This window comes from Homo sapiens, chromosome 4 (genome assembly GCF_000001405.40).
Source record: "Homo sapiens chromosome 4, GRCh38.p14 Primary Assembly".
In the NCBI taxonomy this organism is placed as follows: Eukaryota; Metazoa; Chordata; class Mammalia; order Primates; family Hominidae; genus Homo; species Homo sapiens.
Window position 1 is genome coordinate 4,538,557 of NC_000004.12, and position 16,852 is coordinate 4,555,408.

At 45.2% G+C, this 16,852-nt stretch overlaps 2 protein-coding genes and 1 long non-coding RNA gene across 13 annotated transcripts in view, besides 3 other annotated features; 2 read left to right on the top strand and 1 right to left on the bottom strand.

Annotated features, from left to right (window-relative positions):
• STX18 (syntaxin 18) overlaps positions 1 to 3,787 on the bottom strand; it is a 123,376-nt gene extending 119,589 nt beyond the window's left edge. For 3 of the 4 annotated variants that reach the window (NR_144414.2, NM_016930.4, NM_001346281.2), the window contains exon 1: positions 3,241 to 3,492. Coding sequence is in view for 2 of the 4 variants with exons in the window: in NM_016930.4 (NP_058626.1) it covers positions 3,241 to 3,408 (168 nt within the window). In the remaining 2 variants the exon portion in view is untranslated. Of the gene's footprint in view, positions 1 to 3,240; positions 3,493 to 3,603 lie in introns of those variants that run through there. The other variant, NM_001346282.2, reaches the window with a different exon arrangement.
• Positions 3,362 to 3,641: an enhancer, noted in NCBI's record as "active region_21230". NCBI's record gives its function as "activates an Ori minimal core promoter by ATAC-STARR-seq in GM12878 lymphoblastoid cells {active_cell/tissue: GM12878}" and the evidence as "EXISTENCE:reporter gene assay evidence [ECO:0000049][PMID:35858748]".
• Positions 3,362 to 3,660: a biological region, named in NCBI's record as "Sharpr-MPRA regulatory region 11878".
• Positions 3,366 to 3,660: an enhancer, noted in NCBI's record as "tiled region #11878; HepG2 Activating DNase unmatched - State 1:Tss, and K562 Activating DNase matched - State 1:Tss". NCBI's record gives its function as "activates a minimal TATA promoter and a strong SV40 promoter by Sharpr-MPRA in HepG2 and K562 cells {active_cell/tissue: HepG2 | K562}" and the evidence as "EXISTENCE:reporter gene assay evidence [ECO:0000049][PMID:27701403]".
• LOC124900165 (uncharacterized) overlaps positions 3,575 to 16,852 on the top strand; it is a 230,445-nt gene continuing 217,167 nt past the window's right edge. For 5 of the 8 annotated variants that reach the window (XM_047416487.1, XM_047416491.1, XM_047416485.1 and 2 more), the window contains exons 1-2: positions 3,585 to 4,069; positions 6,182 to 6,351. The gene's annotated coding sequence lies outside the window, so the exon portion shown is untranslated. Of the gene's footprint in view, positions 4,070 to 6,181; positions 6,352 to 16,852 lie in introns of all 8 variants that reach the window. The other 3 variants (XM_047416490.1, XM_047416488.1, XM_047416489.1) reach the window with 1 other exon arrangement.
• Positions 3,575 to 16,852, top strand: part of STX18-AS1 (STX18 antisense RNA 1 (head to head)) — a 168,808-nt gene continuing 155,530 nt past the window's right edge. Inside the window, exons 1-2 of the long non-coding RNA NR_037888.1 lie at positions 3,575 to 3,919; positions 6,182 to 6,351. This is a non-coding gene — a long non-coding RNA (STX18 antisense RNA 1 (head to head)). The remainder of the gene's footprint in view (positions 3,920 to 6,181; positions 6,352 to 16,852) is intronic.

Sequence of the window (16,852 nt, forward strand, 5' to 3'; positions counted from 1 at the left end):
ACATGAGGAGGGGGGAGGTAGTTTGGGGGAACAATAATAATCAGTCTGTTTTTTTAAAATACATACATATAGACTATGTGAGTAGGGTAACTCAGAAGCTACCCTACTTAGCTTGTGAGTTAAGTAGGGTATTATCACGTCCACTTTATAGAAATGGAAAACGAGAGTCAGACTTGCCCAAGTTCACCCATTTCTAAGTAGCAGAAGCGAGATTTGAACCCAAGGCCCAGGTCTCTTTCCAATCCCATCATCCTCACTAGTCCCACACTTCAAATGAGTTAACTAATCAAATTCCCATTGCAGAGTGACATATTCATTATTATTTGGAGTTGTTCGAATAATATAAGTTCCTCCCCCAAATAATCTGAAAAGTCGTTACTCTCCATTTGTAATTTAATGGGTAGACATGCATTTGAGTATATATAAATTTAGTAAAATTGAGCATAAAAGTTAAATGTTTAAAAGAATGATGCAGAAGCAATCAGCCTGTTGTTGGAAGGTAGGGACTGCAATAAAATTGCAGTTTCAATGCAATTTTATTCAACTTAATATAACCTCTACAACAATTCAGTGAGATGGAAATCTGGCATCAGGCATATATTTGAGGAATGGAATGGAAGAATAGAAATTGAACCAGATAAAACGCATCCTAGAAGTAACAGCAAATGCTTCAAGGAAGGCACTTACCAAAAGGCATACTATAACTTATTACATTTCATTAAGTCTGACAACCAGGGCTAAACCTGAATTAGAATATGTGCTTCTGGTATTTACCAGACTTTTCTCTATAAGGAATCCAGGCCAAACAAAATAACAGCCAAACTTTTGACATCTAATTGTAGTAAAAGCACAGGACATCCATCACTAGCTCTTCTAGTTAAACTTCCCACAAGAGAAGATGGGGAGTGGGGAACGGTTGCAAGAACAGGAGATAATACACAAAGCAATGACAACATAAAATCAAAATTGCTTAAAAGAATGTATGTTTCCTCTACGTCAGGGGGACAGTGTCCCTGAACAACACAGCCCATGAACTCACTTAAGGTGATGTGACACCTACTCACATCAATACATAGCAGAACTGCAAGTTGCATTGTCATGCGGTCCAACCCTGTGACATATGCACAAAGCTTTTCTCAAACATCTCTGAAAAGCAGTCATCACTCTGTTTAATCACTTCCAGTGACAGGGAACTCAGCACCCTATGGGACTGTTACTGTCCCTGAGGCCCATTAACTCAAAACTCAAACACATTTTCACCACTCAGGGAGAGGTGGAAGTGATCACAGGGCTCTCCAAAGGGCTTGCCAACCCAACTGTGCCTCCTGTCTCTACCATTCCCAAATCCCCCCTTTCCCTGAGCAGGACTCAAAATTAGCACAGTGTTAATAAATCAGTGGTTTCAGAGTTAGAAGGGACCCTTAAAAAGCCAATACTGTGATATTCATACCACAGTTCTACAAAAGGAATCTCAAGAAGTGCTTGGGCCAAACTGGGAGGGAGAGTGTCCTGTTTCTCTTCCTCTTATTTCAACCTAGGAAGCTCCCACTTTAATTTGTTACATATAGAGGACCAAGGTAGTTTTTTAAAAGGAGGAGGAGAAAAAAAGGACCATTTACAGGTAAATAAACTGAGGTCTTAAAACTTGCTTAATGAAATCATATAGCTAATAGTTGCAGGGTTCAGACAACAACCTCGTCTCTTGGCTCCTTCTCTGGTGCTTTCTCTACCAGATAACATCTGACCATCTACAGGGCAAAATTCAAACTCTGCAATGATACACAAAGCCCTTTAAGATCTCCGCGTCCAATTTTTATGAGAGTCCCACATTCCAGTCTCACTCAAATGTTTATTGAACCAACTTATGTCAGACTGTTACCTACCTCCACAGCTTAGCGCATACTATTCTCTTAGCCTGAGATGTCCTTCTGCACTGGAACCAACTAATCCTCTTTCAAGATTTGTTTTAGGCATCATCGCCTCTATAAAGCCTTTTCTGGTCCTCAGGTAGAACTGACCACATTCTTTTTGTGCCCTACACAACACCTGCAAGGCTTTATGGCACTTGTTTTATGTCTATGTCCGTCTACTCCACCACTGCTTTTACATCATATTACTCTAACACGAGGCTGGTCAGAAGGTAGGTGCTTCATAGACGGTCATCAATAGGGCGAGTGTATTCATCTGGTCCAATCCCCTTTCTAATGTTTAAGTATCCTCTGCTAACTGTCATTAATGCATGCATGACTACATTCATTCAAAAATATCTGAGTGTCTATACAGTGCCAAGTGTATGCCAAGCAGAGAAGGATTTACTGTGAAATTAATGAGGCTTAAGCTTTAGGGTCCCTCTCTTCAATCTTCCAAAGCTCTGAATCTTTCTTGGTGATTTTTATTTCTTGAAGAGGGCAGACAGAACTATATAAGCTGTAGGCCCCACAAAACCTAGATACCTCCTTGGTGTCACGAACACAAAAGGGAACAAGACAAACAGCTCTCCCCTTATGGAGTTTTCTGTTTAATGGGAAAGACAGCCATTTGTTCATTCACTCATTCAACAAACATTTACTAAGCAATGCTATGAGTCATGCATTCTGAGATGAAAACAACACTGTCCCTGCCCTTAAGGAAAAGGTTCCTGTTCCCAGGGAGATGAAGGGACACCTGCTCTGATCAGGGAACAGAAAGTAGTTGAGGTGACTGTAACACTGTGTTTGCGAAAGATTACCCTAAACCCGTCTCAAGAGGAACTGAGTCCTACTTATTGCAGAGACAAAGGGAAGAAAGAGTTCGGCTGAATACAGTTTTTAATCTCAACTAGGGGTGGGAGGCAGACAAGTAAATAGAACAGGCAAATATGGTGTGGTCAGTGCTGCAACAGGAAGCGAAGGACTGTCAGGAGGTTTCCCCTGAGTGCAAGTCTGTAGTGACGGCGAACTCATGACCTCACAAAGCCGCCCATGCACTTTCCAGATAGAGATTTCTGAGGATCTCCTTTCTTGTCCCCCAATCCCTGTCGCCGCAGGAGAAATCTGTTCCCCAATATGCGTCCCCCTTCCTCAAAATAAGGCTGTTCCTTCCCCCAAAAAGCTGTAGGGTCTCTGAGGCCAACTCTTCTGTCCCCCTTAGAGCCACCCCCTTCACACAATGCTTACGGGACGGGGTCTGGTTTGGGGCCCGGGGTCCCTGTCGCAGGACTGCCCCCTCCTCAACCCGCCGTTTCCATAGCAACCAGCTCACCACTTCGCGGGCCCGGCTGGAGAAGTCGCCCTTGGGCCGGGGGCTCCGGCGGAACAGCTCGTCCCGGCTGCCATCGACCCCGCCGCCCACCGCCACTCCCAGCGCCTTGTTCCGCGTCTTCACGGTCTTGACGCTGGCCCGGAATAGCAGCGTGATGTCCACCGCCATAGCGACCCGCACCCTCAGCCCCACACTAGGCCCGCCCACGTAAGCAGCCGGCGACCGCGGCGCGAACCCGGCCGCTGAAGGACTGGTCCTGCCCCACACGCCTCCCCCCGGCAACGGCGACGCGAGAAGAAAGGTTCCGGCCTGCGCCCTGCTACCGCGGCGGGAGGAAAAAGGTTCCGGCCTCAGCCGGCGCACCTGGCGGAGGAGGAACCTCGCGACGCGCTCTCGGGCATCGGTTTCTCCCAGCAAAGCTTGGAGGGTTTAGCTGCGCGGAGAGCTCAGCGAGCTCTTCTGTGTCTGTTTGGGGCGTGTGGGCTCCGGGAGCGTGAGGACCGGGAAGCTAGGAGGCTCCTTCCCTTCTGGCGGCTCCCTCACTGAGACCGGGCGGTTTGGTTGCGGGGGAAGTGGAGACGAGCCACCCTTGACCTTTGACTGCAAGAACTCACCTTGAGCAGGATAGAGGCACGTGGACGGTGACCCTCGGGATGCAATAAATGCTGAGACAGATCAGGTGTGCAAGGCACAGAGCTAGAGGCCAGAGGCCTTTCTTCTCCAACCTTCAGTCACCTCTTTTTAAAGTGAAGCCAGCATCCTCCTCGGGGTTTACTGTGAAAATTAAGTGAGCTGACGCGTGCTGTGTTTTGATGTTGCTTGGCTCCTAGTAAGTGGCCAATAAATGGTAGTAATCGTTAATAATGTTATTATTATAATCACTGTTATTTGTGGTAAAGGAAGAGGCTTTAGAGAAAAGGCGTCACCTGTGCAGAGATTTGAAGGATGAATAGGAAGTTTAGATGGAGACAAAGGTGAAAGAGTGGCCCTAATGCCGCTGGATTCTCTTCATCCTTCATGCATAGTTTTTAATTGTACCGTCTTGAGCCATAGCTATTAAAATTGACAACTCAATCAATGAGTTTCTTCTGCATTTTAGGTTCATGTTCTGTTTTGTGTTGTTTTTTGAGACGGGGGTCTACTATGTTGCCCAGGCTGGATTGCAGTGGCTAGTCAGAGGCGCCATCCTAGCTCACTACAGCTGGAACGCCAGGGCTCAAACGATCCTCCCGGACTCAGCCTCCTGAGTAGCTGGGACTATAGGCACGTGCAACCGTGCCTGGCCTATGGTTCAGTTTTAATTCAAAATCTCATTGATTTCTTCAAGATTTCTTTTTTCATAAAGAGGAAGCACAAGTAGAATATGTATTAAAACAGCAGTTTTAATGGTCATCAAGATAAAATTTTCACAATACTAAGATGTTATTTGCCTTTTCGCTCTGATTTTCTTATGAGTTGCATACAGTTGAGTTTGCTGGAGACTGTGATATTGCAACGGAGTAAATGCAGAACAGCTGTTTTCTATTAAGCCAGACTCCAAAAAAAGACTTTCAAAAACATCAAGTTTTTGTTTTGATTTCTCATATAGTAAATGTCGATAATGTCAATATAAACCAAAATTGTTTAGAGCCCTTAATAATTTTTAAGTGTGCAAAAGAGTTGAGACCAAAAGTTTGAGAACCACTGTGTTAAAAAAATAAAGTTTATCAGAAATAGATGTCAAGAAAGTATATATTTACCAGAAAGGAGGAAGGAAAAGATTTTTTTTTTCTTTGAGGCGGAGTCTTGCTCTGTCGCCCAGGCTGGAGCAAGCTCCGCCTCCCGGGTTCACGCCATTCTCCTGCCTCAGTCTCCCGAGTAGCTGGGACTACAGGCGCCCACCGCCACGCCTGGCTAATTCTTTTGTATTTTTAGTAGAGATGGGGTTTCACCGTGTTAGCCAGGATGGTCTCGATCTCCTGACCTCGTGATCCGCCTGCCTCAGCCTCCCAAAATGCTGGGATTACAGGCGTGAGCCACCGCGCCCGGCCAGGAAAAGATTATTTAAACCCAAACTGTAGCCACTTCTTGCAGTTTAAGGAAAATAAATTTCCATACAGCTTTCTTCCACCTACTGAGGAAAAGAGAAAGAAATTACAAAATCTCTGCCAATGATTCTATCTTGCATAAATGGCCCTTTGTTTAATCCAGACATTAATCAGTTTTTGGCCATGCAAAGTTAAGCCTGGGGTAGAGTAGAAGGAAAGAGAGATTGCCCTGCATAATAAAGTGAGGGGGATTGAATTGGGGGGAAGAAAAGAGAAGCCAGAACCCAGGGAGGGGGCCGGGAAAGTACAAAGTAGGTAACTGGGAAGGATCTTTGAGTGGGAGGGAGGCTGAACTACACCAAGCCTTCAGTGAGTGGTGCCTTGTGTAAACCGTGTGTTTGGTGCAGTTGGATATTTTGGGTAGAAGGGTAGGGACAAAGATCTAAGTTTTCTGTCTGGATTTGCAAGAGCAGAGAAGATTGTGGTGGATATAAGACCCAAGTGAGCTCAAAACATCAGGCTGTAAATCCACAAGTGACCACAAGTACATAAAATTCCTAAATAAGTCACAAAGATCTTGAGGAGGCTGCTGAACTTTCCACAGACCATGGGATATGGGGTTGTGCTTTTTACATTTTGTGTTTACTCTTTAATTTAAAAGAGCAAAGTGACTTCAGTTGACAGTTGACTAATATTAAGCCCCATAAAGCTGAGAGGGGATGTGGGTTAAAAGGATGTGCAGAAATGTTGTGAGAGTATACTACTGCAACTCCAGGGCTCAAACAATCCTCCCGGCTCAGCCTCCTGAGTATCTGGGACTATAGGCGCGTGCCACCATGCCTGGCCTGTTGGAGGTAGCACACAACTGCCCAGTTGGATGTAGTATACAAATTTTGTTTTCTTTATGCATTCAGCAAACATTGAGTGGGCCAGACACTGTTCTGAAAAATACGCAGTCGACTTTTGAACAGCACAGGCTTGAACTGCATGCGGCCACTAATACTCGGACTTCCTTCTGCCTCTGCCATCCCTAAGACAGCAAGACCCACCCCTCCTGCTCCTCAGCCTACTCGATGTGATGATGGTGAGTATGAAGACCTTTACTTTATGATGATCCACTTCCATTTAATGGATAGTAAATATATTTTCTCTTCCTATGATTTTCTTAATACCATTTTCTTTTCTCTAGCTTACTTTATTGAAAGAATACAGTATCTAATACATATGACATGCAAAATATGTGTTAACGGACTGTTTATGTTATTGATAAGGATTCTGGTCAACAGTAGGCTATTATTAGTTAAGATGTTAGGGAGTCAGAAGTTATACACAAATTTCCAACTGTGAGGGGTGGAGGAGTCATCAAGGATCAACTGTATTGGCACCCCTAAATATAGCTCACTACAGCAGCAACACCTATGCAAGGAGACTAGATGTAGGCTGCCAGTGAAAACCAACGTGTAATTTCTGGGCAGCAAATTTAAGAGCTAATGTATGATTCACGATGCTCTTTTCCCTCTGCTATGACAACCCTTAATGTTCCAATGTTCCATCAGCCTGAGTCCTTAAGTAAAGATGACATGGAGCATAGCCAACCAAGGACATTGTATTAGTCAGAGTTCTCTAGAGGGACAGAACTAATAGGATAGGTGTATATATAAAGGGGAGCTTATTAAGGAGTATTGACTCACATGATCACAAGGTGAGGTCCCACAATAGGCCATCTGCAAGCTGAGGAGCAAGGAGAGACAGTCCAAGTCCCAAAGCTGAAGAACTTGGAGTCTGATGTTCCAGGGCAGGAAGCATCCAGCACGGGAGAAAGATGTAGGCCAGAAGACTAAGCCAGTCTAGTCTTTCCATGTTCTTCTGCCTGCTTTTCTTCTGGCCATGCTGGCAGCTGATTAGATTGTACCCACCTAGATTGAGAGTGGGTCTGCCTTTCCCAGTTCACTGACTCAAACGTTAATCTCCTTTGGCAACACCCTCACAGACACACCCAGGAACAATACTTTGCATCCTTCAGTCAAGTTGACACTCAATATTAACCATCACAGACATGTACTAAGATTGAGAATTGTCCACAGATTTGTGGGTGTTTGTTAACTGCAGCATAATTAGCCTGTCCTGATTGATGACAACCCATATCTAGGTATCTACCAAAACAGGAATATTAGATGTATTCTCCACTCACCATCGTAACAGTATTATTCCTCAGTGAATGAAGCATGGAGAGGAAAGAACAGTTGTGCCTAAACCTAACCAATGGAAAAGACCAGGCTGGCAGGGACAGAGTGGCAGAAACCTTGGAAGACTGTGACCATGGCAGGGTAGAATTTATAACACAAGAGGAAAGGCCTTCAAAAACATATACCTTCACGTTAGGAGGTAAACTCAATGAAATTCATTGAAAACCATTTTTCCCCCCTCAGGGACTCTGGAAAGGACCCTGACTCTAGGGGTGGGAAGCTCAAAGAAGAAGCTTTTGTTCCCAAGAGGGAACCTAGATAAAGAATTCAGGGTGGATTTCTCTTGTTTTTTTTTTTCTTTTTTTTTTCTTTCTTTCTTTTTTTTTATTTTTTTATTTTTGAGATGGAGTTTTGCTCTTGTTGCCCAGGCTAGAGTGCAATGGCGTGATCTCAGCTCACTGCAACCTCCACCTTCTGGGTTCAAGCAATTCTCCTTCTTCAGCCTCCCAAGTAGCTAGGATTACAGACGTCCTCCACCATGCCCAGCTAATTTTTTGGGGGGTGTGTATTTTTAGTAGAGATGGGGTTTCACCGTGTTGGCCAGGCTGGCCTCGAACTCCTGACCTCAGGTGATCCACCCACCTCGGCCTCCCAAAGTGCTGGAATTACAGGCATGAGCCACTGAACTCGGCCCAAGGTGGGTTTCTTCCGGCAGCTCCCCCAGAAGTTTAGCTTTGAAACAGATGTGCAAAAAAAAGCGAGGGAAAGGCAGGAAGCAAACAGGAGGTTGTTGTGGTCCAGCCCTTTGAGGTGTGGCCTTTGTCCCCCCACCGCCCATTGAAGTAATATGGTTTGGCTGTGACTCCACCCAAATCTCATCTCAAATTGTGATCAGAATTGTATCCCCATGTGTCAGGAGAGGGACCTGGTGGGAGGTGATTGGATCATGGGGGCAGTTTCCTCCATGCTGTTCTCATGATAGTGAGTGAGTTCTCATGAAATTTGATGGTTTCATAAGGGGCTCTTCCCCCTTCACTCTCTCTTTCCTGCTGCTGTGTGAAGAAGGTTCCTGCTTCCCCTTTGCCTTCTGCCATGATTATAAGTTTCCTGAGGCCTCCTCAGCCATGCAGAACTGTGAGTCAATTAAGCCTCTTTCCTTTATAAATTACCCAGTCTCGGGTAGTATTTTTATAGCAGTGTGAAAATGGACTCATACACAGAGAGTACCTAAAGGAGGGGCTGCCACCACCTCATTCCTACCTGATTCTTGTTCTAGATCCTGAGCCCGTTGCTCTAGCCTACTGGCTTGTTTCATCCTACTTTGTGTCTCCTCCCACCCTGTAATGAGCCAAATGTTGGCCCCCCAAAAGATATGTCCACATCCTGATCCCTAGAACCCATGAATCTGACCTTACTAGGAAAAGAAGTCTTTCCAGATAGAGTTAAATTAAAGACCTTGAAATGAAGAAATGATTTTGGATTATCCTGGTGACCCCTAAATCCAATAGCAAATATCTTTAAAAGAGGCACACAGAATGGAAGGCCATGTGAAGACAGAGGCAGATACTGGAGAGATACAGCCACAGGCCCATGAATGCTGATGGCCACCAGAAACCAGAGGAAGCAAGGAAGTATTCTCCCCTAGAGTCTCTGAAGGGAGCGTGGCCCTGCCAGCATCTTGATTTTGGACTTTTGTCCTCCAGGACTGTAAGAAACAAATTTCTGTTAAATCACAAAGCTTGTGGTCATTTGTTACTGCAACCATAGGAAATTAACGTGTACCCTAACTCTTTTCCCTGCCCATCCTTCCTCCATTACCTATCCTCTACTTCCTGGGTGTGGCCCTCAGCCCCTGTTTGGGTTCTCAGCTCTGCAGGTAAGCCGCCTTCAGCTTCACTGGGTCTGTACCTTTCTTGTGGTTGATAAGTCCTGCGGCTGCCTAGCCTGGTGCTCTTCTTTCCTTCCCCATCTCTTCTTTGATCTCCCCTTGGAGAGTCACAACTGACCAGGCCCCCTGTCCCACAAGGAAAACTAGAGGCCAGAATGAACTGGATCTAGCCAAAAAGCACACCAAAGTGGGCTCTTTTCATCAAATGTGCAGCAGAAAGGGTGTCCATGCAACAGATATTTCACTCTCCCTGTGTGACTCAGAGAAGGCAGACATACTCAACTCTTGTTTCCAACTTCTCTATTTAGGAGCTATTCGAATGCAAAAGATAGGAGAGAGCTTGTGTGACAGTTCTGGCAGTGGCTGTGGCATCTGGAGTGTCTGCACCCAAAGAGTTGCCCTTCTCAGTCTAGAAAGACCATTCTGCCAGACGCGGTGGCTCACGCCTGTAATCCCAGCACTTTGGGAGGCCAAGGCGGGTGGATCACCAGAGGTCAGGCATTCAAGACCAGTCTGGCCAACATCGCGAGATCCCGTCTCTACTAAAAATACAAAAATTAGCGGGCAGGCATGGTGATGCACGCCTGTAGTCCCAGCTACTCAGGAGGCTGAGCCATGTCACTTGAACCTGGGAAGCAGAGGTTGCAGTTGAGCCGAGATCATGCTACTGCACTCCATCCTGGGTGACACGCAAGACTCTGTCTCAAAAATGAATAAAAGAAAGCCCATTCTATTATGAGCAGTTCAAGTAAGTGCAGAGAGAGGAAGGGGACAGTTGCCCACATAGCCAAGTCAGTCCCAGGGATAGTGAACAATAAGTTGCCTCCAGAACTTCAAGATTAGGAGCCACTGGATAATGAGAGTCAGCACAGGGACAAAACAGATGTCAAGGATTCTTCTTTTGTCATCCTGAGTCCATGTGACTAAATTTCAAGAGGGCAGGTTAGAAAAAGCAAAGTTGATGGGGCATTACCTGTGGTTTGAACTTCTACCTGTCATATTTCAGGAAATCACCATGAGGAGCTTGACTTAGGAAATTAAGGAAGACGTGTCCTTTTGTTGATTTTCACATGGGAAGACAAGGGTGTGTGTGTGTGTGTGTGTGTGTGTGTGTGTGTGTGTGGTGAGACACAAGGGTTGAAAACTAACTGGTTCTCAGTTTGTGGTGTTTCCTGCCATCAGCAATGGCCTTGGGGATGACTCCCACTCCTCCCTTCTAGCCCCCAAGAAGACTACAATTGTCTCTTGCTCCAAGTTAGTCTTCAGGAATACAAAGCCCAGCAAGTGCAGGGGGGCTCAGTGTGATGTGCACACAGTGTGGCACAGCCCAAGAGTCCGGCTTTGGAGGCAGTGATCTCTCAGAACTAAGACCACCCTGAATTAAGACCACCCTGTCAGCATCCCCTTACTCTGACCATGCAGCATGGTCTTTGGGCTCCACAAATATCCTTGAAGCCAAGAGTCACAATTTGGGTGGGAATCGCAAGCCCAGCCAGCAGGCAAAGATGGAGGCCAGAGGGCAGCTGAGCATCCATTGTCACTGGTGTCCACTCCCAGAGCTACTTGGAGGTGGGCACTAGCGAACAAAAGCCCTCAGAAGAGAGAAGGGGACACCACTGCCCTGGTAGCCCCCATCCTGTCTTTGGCCTGTAGGCCTCTGCACACTGTAAGCCTAGACCAGCCTCAACTATATCACACATTGACTTTTTTCCTCTCTGGACAATGGTAGCCTGGAGTATTGTAATACCCATGGAATTTTTATAGGGTACCTAAGGGATATTTATCAGATCTCTGAGTTCTTTCCAGAAGTCCAGGAAGTAGTTAACAGAGGATGACTAATAGGAAACAAAAACACAACACCACTACAACCTGAGATTCAGAAATGGAAAGACTTGGGTTTGAATTCAGCTACCCTACTCACTAGCTGTGTGACTCTGGGCAAGTTACTTCACCTCTCTGAGCCTCTGTCTGAAAAATGCAGACAAACCCTATTAACCGCTCCTGATTTCTGTGAGTAGGGATTTCTTTTTCACACCTCTCCAATGGAAGCAGCCTTAGTCATCTGGTTTTGGGGCAACATCGGCCAGTCTGCATTTTTCAGTTGGTTGAAGCGATCTACCAGTTGGGGACGTTTGCTCTTTTGCCTTCACCCTTTAACCTGAGCCAGTGGGACGCAGTGACCTGGCTGAGGACTGTGTTCTGCAGACTCATACATTACCTCAGAGGGAAGCTAAAAACCAGAACGCTGCCAGAACTGTCTCTTTCTTCCTCTCTCTTCCTCATCGTCATTATCATCTCCTCAAGTCAGTTTTCTCTGCTTCTCTGTTCCTACGGCTGAACACCAGCCCCACTCAAATCCTACATTTATTAATATATGAGATACCCGTTGATATGGTTTGGCTGTGTCCTCATTCAGATCTCAACTTCAATTGTATCTCCCAGAATTCCCACATGTTGTGGGATGGACCTAGGAGGAGGTAATTGAATCATAGGGGCTGGTCTTTCCTGTGCTATTCTCATGATAGTGAATAAGTCTCATGAGATCTAATGGGTTTATCAGGGGTTTCCACTTTTGCTTCTTCCTCATTTTCTCTTGCTGCTGCCATGTAAGAAGTCCTTTTCACCTCCCGCCATGATTCTGAGGCCTCCCCAGCCATGTGGAACTGTAAGTCCAATTAAACCTCTTTTTCTTCCCAGTCTTGGGTATGTCTTTATCAACAGCATGAAAACAGACTAATACAGTAAATTGGGATCAGTAGAGTGGGGCATTGCTGAAAAGATACCCGAAAATTTGGAAGTGACTTTGGAACTGGGTAACAGGCAGAGATTGGAACAGTTTGAAGGGCTCAGAAGAAGACAGGAAAATTTGGGTAAGTTTGGAACTCCCTAGAGATTTGTTGAATGGCTTTGCCCAAAATGCTGATAGTGATATGGACAATAAAATCCAGGCTGAGGTGGCCTCAGATGGAGATGAGAAACTCATTGGGAATTTAAGCAAAGTTGATTCTTGCTATGTCTTAGCAAAGAGACTGGTGGTATTTTGTCACTGCCCTGAAGATTTGTGGAACTTTGGACTTGAGAGAGATGATTTAGGTATCTGGTGGAAGAAATTTCTAAGCAGCAAAGCATTCAAGATGTGACTTGGGTGCTGTTAAAGGCATTCAGTTTTATAAGGGAAGCAGAGCATAAAACTTTAGAAAATTTGCAGCCTGACTATGCAATAGAAAAGAAAACCCATTTTCTGGGGAGAAATTCAAGCTGGCTGCAGAAATTTGCATAAGTAGTGAGAAGCCTAATGTTAATCCCCAAGACCATGGGGAAAATGTCTCCAGGCCATGTCAGAGACCTTCATGGCAGCCCCTCCCATCACAGGCCTAGAGGCCCAAGAGGAAAAAGTGGTTTTGTGGGCTGGACCCAGGATCCCCATGCTTTGTGCAGCTTAAGGGCTTGGTAGCCTGCACCCCAGCCTCTCCAGCCATGGCTGAAAGGGACCAACATATAGCTCAGGCTGTGGCTTCAGAGGGTCAAAGCCCCAAGCCTTGGCAGCTTCCACGTGGTGTTGAGCCTGCGGGTGCACAGAAGTCAAGAACTGAGGTTTGGGAACCTCCACCTAGATTTCAGAAGATGTATGGAAATTTCTGAATGCCCAGGCAAAAGTTTTCTGCAGGATGGCAGCCCTCATGGAGAACCTCTGCTATGGCAGTGCAGAAGGGAAATGTGGAGTTGGCGTCCCCACACAGAGTCCCTATTGGGGCACTGCCTAGTGGAGCTGTGAGAATAGGGCCACTGTTCTCCAGCTCCCAGAATGATTGATCCACCAACAGCTTGCACCAGGCACCTGGAAAAGCCACAGACACTCAATGCCAGCGAAGAGAAAGCAGCTGCAAAGCCACAGGGGCAGAGCTGCCTAAGACTGTGGGAACCCACCTCTTGCATTGGTGTGACCTGGATGTGAGACCTGGAGTCAAAGGACATCATTTTAGAGCTTTAAAATTTGACTGTCCGCTGGATTTCCGATTTGTATGGGCCCTGTAACCCCTTTGTTTTGGCCAATTTCTCCCATTTGGAATGGCTGTATTTACCAAATACTTGTATCCCCATTGTATTCAGGAAGTAACTAGCTTGTTTTTGATTTTACAGGCTCATAGGTGGAAGGGACTTGCCTTGTCTTAGATGAGACTTTGGACTGTGGACTTTTGTGTTAATGCTGAAATGAGTTAAGGCTTTGAGGAACTGTTGGGAAGGCATGATTGGTTTTGAAATGTGAGAACATGAGATTTGGAGGGGCCAGGGACAGAATGATGTGGTTTGGCTATGTCCCCATTCAAATCTCAACTTGTATCTCCCAAAATTCCCACGTGTTGTGTGAGGGACCTAAGAGGACGTGATTGAATCATGGAGCCGGTCTTTCCCATGCTATTCTCATGATAGTGAATAAGTCTCACGAGATCTGATGGGTTTATCAGGGGTTTCCACTTTTGCTTCTTCCTCATTTTCTCTTGCTGCCACCATGTAAGAAGTGCCTTTTGCCTCCCGCCATGATTCTGAGGCCTCCCCAACCATGTGGAACTGTAAGTCCAATTAAACCTCTTTCTCTTCCTAGTCTCGGGTATTTCTTTATCAGCAGCATGAAAATGCACTAATACACCCCCAGTCACAGAAAGGGTCTAACTTGATGTATCAGTCCCAAGTCCCAAGCTGGCCCAGTTTCAGACAGACCTTCCCCTGGTCCAGTCAGCTAGGCTTTAGCATCTGAGTCATATGGGACCAACGTGACTGTCAGGATACATACACTCTCTGGCTGGGGATTTGTGGGGAGGGGATATGTTAATATTCTATTGCTGCTATAACAAATGATCACATTTTGGCTTAACCAATTTGAATTTGTTATCCTACAGTTATAGAGGTCAACAGTCTAATGTGGGTTTCACTGGGCTAAAATCAAGGAGCTGGCACGGCTGTGTTCCATTCTGGAGACTCTGGGGGAGAATCCATTTATTTGCCTTCCCCAGCTCCTAGATGCTGCCCACGTTCTTTGGTTCACGGCCCCACCCTCTTTCTCTGAAGCCAGGTATGATGGGTGGAGATCTTCTCACATCGCATCACTCTGACACTGACTGTCCTGCCTCCCTCTTCCACATTTAAGGACCCCTGTCATGACATTGGGCCCACCCAGATAGTCCAAGATAAGCCCCCTATCTGAAGGCTAGCTGATCAACATCACAAATTCCATCTGCAACCTCAGTGCCCCTTGCCAAGTGACATACATATTCACACATTCAGCAATTAGGACTTGGACATTTTTGGGGGGCTGTTATTCAGTCTACCACAATGAGGTAGCTCCAGTAAAAAGATGGGGTGATTATGAGCTGGGCAGACACCCCTTTTGTGTCTTCCTGGAAGACAGAGAGATCCACCTACTCTTTTCCATTTCTCAAACAATGTTTGTAGGCCTGCTCTGGTAATACTCCAGGGGTCTACAGAAATTAAGAAAACAGAACCTTTTCCCTTTGAGGATTTAACCTAGTAGGAGACACACCAATATCCAAACACAAAGCAATGTTCTTCTGAAATCTTCTAGTCCTTTCTACCTCTTTTAAGGTACTTATCCCACTCTGCTCACCCCATTTTAGAGGCGTCAACTCACAACAATGTGATCAACAGTCACCAAAGTTCAAGTCCTCTCTCTCCCCTCCTTCTCCTGGCCTCCAGGTTGAGAAGTTTGGTGCAACTTCTTCCCAGGGCTGACTTCGTCCACCCCAGGAGTTTCATAGAGCACCTCATAAAAACCCATTTACTGGTTTCCCCAACATAATGGCAGAAATAAACTACTTGATACACACTTGGAAATCCCTTCCAGAGAACATGTGCATTGTTTTGTTGGCATGGCATCTTGGTTTCTAACTTGAATTTCCACCGCCTTTGCTTTTTTGACAGTATCTTCCATGATTAAGATGGCCGAATCCTCCACTTTTTATTGAGTTGGACAGCAAATCACAGAATAAATGCTTTCCCTTGCACTTTAAAAGGATTTAATAGGAAAATATTTTTCCTACATCCTGTTTCAAGGGGAAAATGTGATTTTAAGGGGCATTTTATAGTTCACAACAGGATATTGAAGGGCATTTGGTTTTGCTTAGTTTATTATGACTGTGTTTCTCCAGCATGAAGTAGTGTTTTTTGTGATTATTTAGATAAGTGTGATTATGGTAGATAGGCAGCTATCGAATTATGGAAATTTAGGACTGGAAAGGGCCTTAAATATCATCCAGGCCAAACTTCCTCATTTTTCAGATGAGAAAACAAATGACTTGTCCAAGTTCACATGTTGAGTTGCAGGGGAAAATGAGATTAGAATCTTTATCTTCCAACTGTTTAATGTCCCCCAAACAGTTTTGTGATGAGAGTAGGAGTAAGGAGAGTAGCATTTATTCAAGGAGATCCCTATGTATCTGTAAGCAGTTCTGAATATGAGAATTGGAGTAACTGATATGTGTGGATTTGTGTGTATTTCATTCATTCATTCATCCATTAAGCTAGCCAGTCAGTGAGTCATATTCTAAACATATTCCCAGTGTCTACTCAGTAGGTGGCACGTGCTAGGTGCTGAAAATATAAAAACAAAGCTGAAGTCCCCGCCTTGGAGCAAGTCAAGGAGTAATGGACAGACAAGTGTGTACAGACATAATTATAATTAAACATAAATGTGATAATGGAGTTTGTTGTTTTTTCATGGCAGCTTCAAACCATGAAATTAAAAAGCTACTCTGCAGGGACAGGAAATGATCAGCACTCCAGAAATAGAGTTGGAGAGATGCTTTCCTTATGGTCCATTTCTGGCCATTTCATTATCTCTGTCTTGATGGGACTCTATGGAGCAGGAACCACCTCTTAGCCTGGCATTGTGGCAAGAGCCTCAGTTCTCTGTCAGACAAGCTTGGGTTCAAATCCCAGTCACTTATTAATAATGAGTTCTTTCAAGGTTATTTCCTCATCTATGAATAAAAGATAAAAACGCATCCATCAGGTTGTTGTACATGTATATTAGTCTGTTCTCATGCTGCTGATAAAGATATACCCAAGGCTGTGTAATGTATAAAGGAAAAAAAAAGAGCTTTAATGGACTCACAGTTCCACGTGGCTGGGAAGGCCTCACAATCATGGCAGGAGGTGAAAGGCACATCTTACATGGTGACAGACAAGGAGAGAATGAGAGCTAAGCGAAAGGGGTTTCCACTTATAAAACCATCAGATCTCATGAGACTAATTCACTACCATGAGAACAGTATGGGGGAAACCGCCCCCATGATTCAACTATCTCCCACCAGTCCCTCCCACAACTCGTGGGAATTATGGGAGCTGCAATTCAAGATGAGATTTGGGTGGGGACACAGCCAAACCATGTCAATGTGTTAAATGAGATGATCCATATAAAGTGTGTAGCACAGCATCTGGTGTAGTTAGTCATAAAAAAACCCAGCCATCATGGCAATGGGGATGTTGAGGATGAA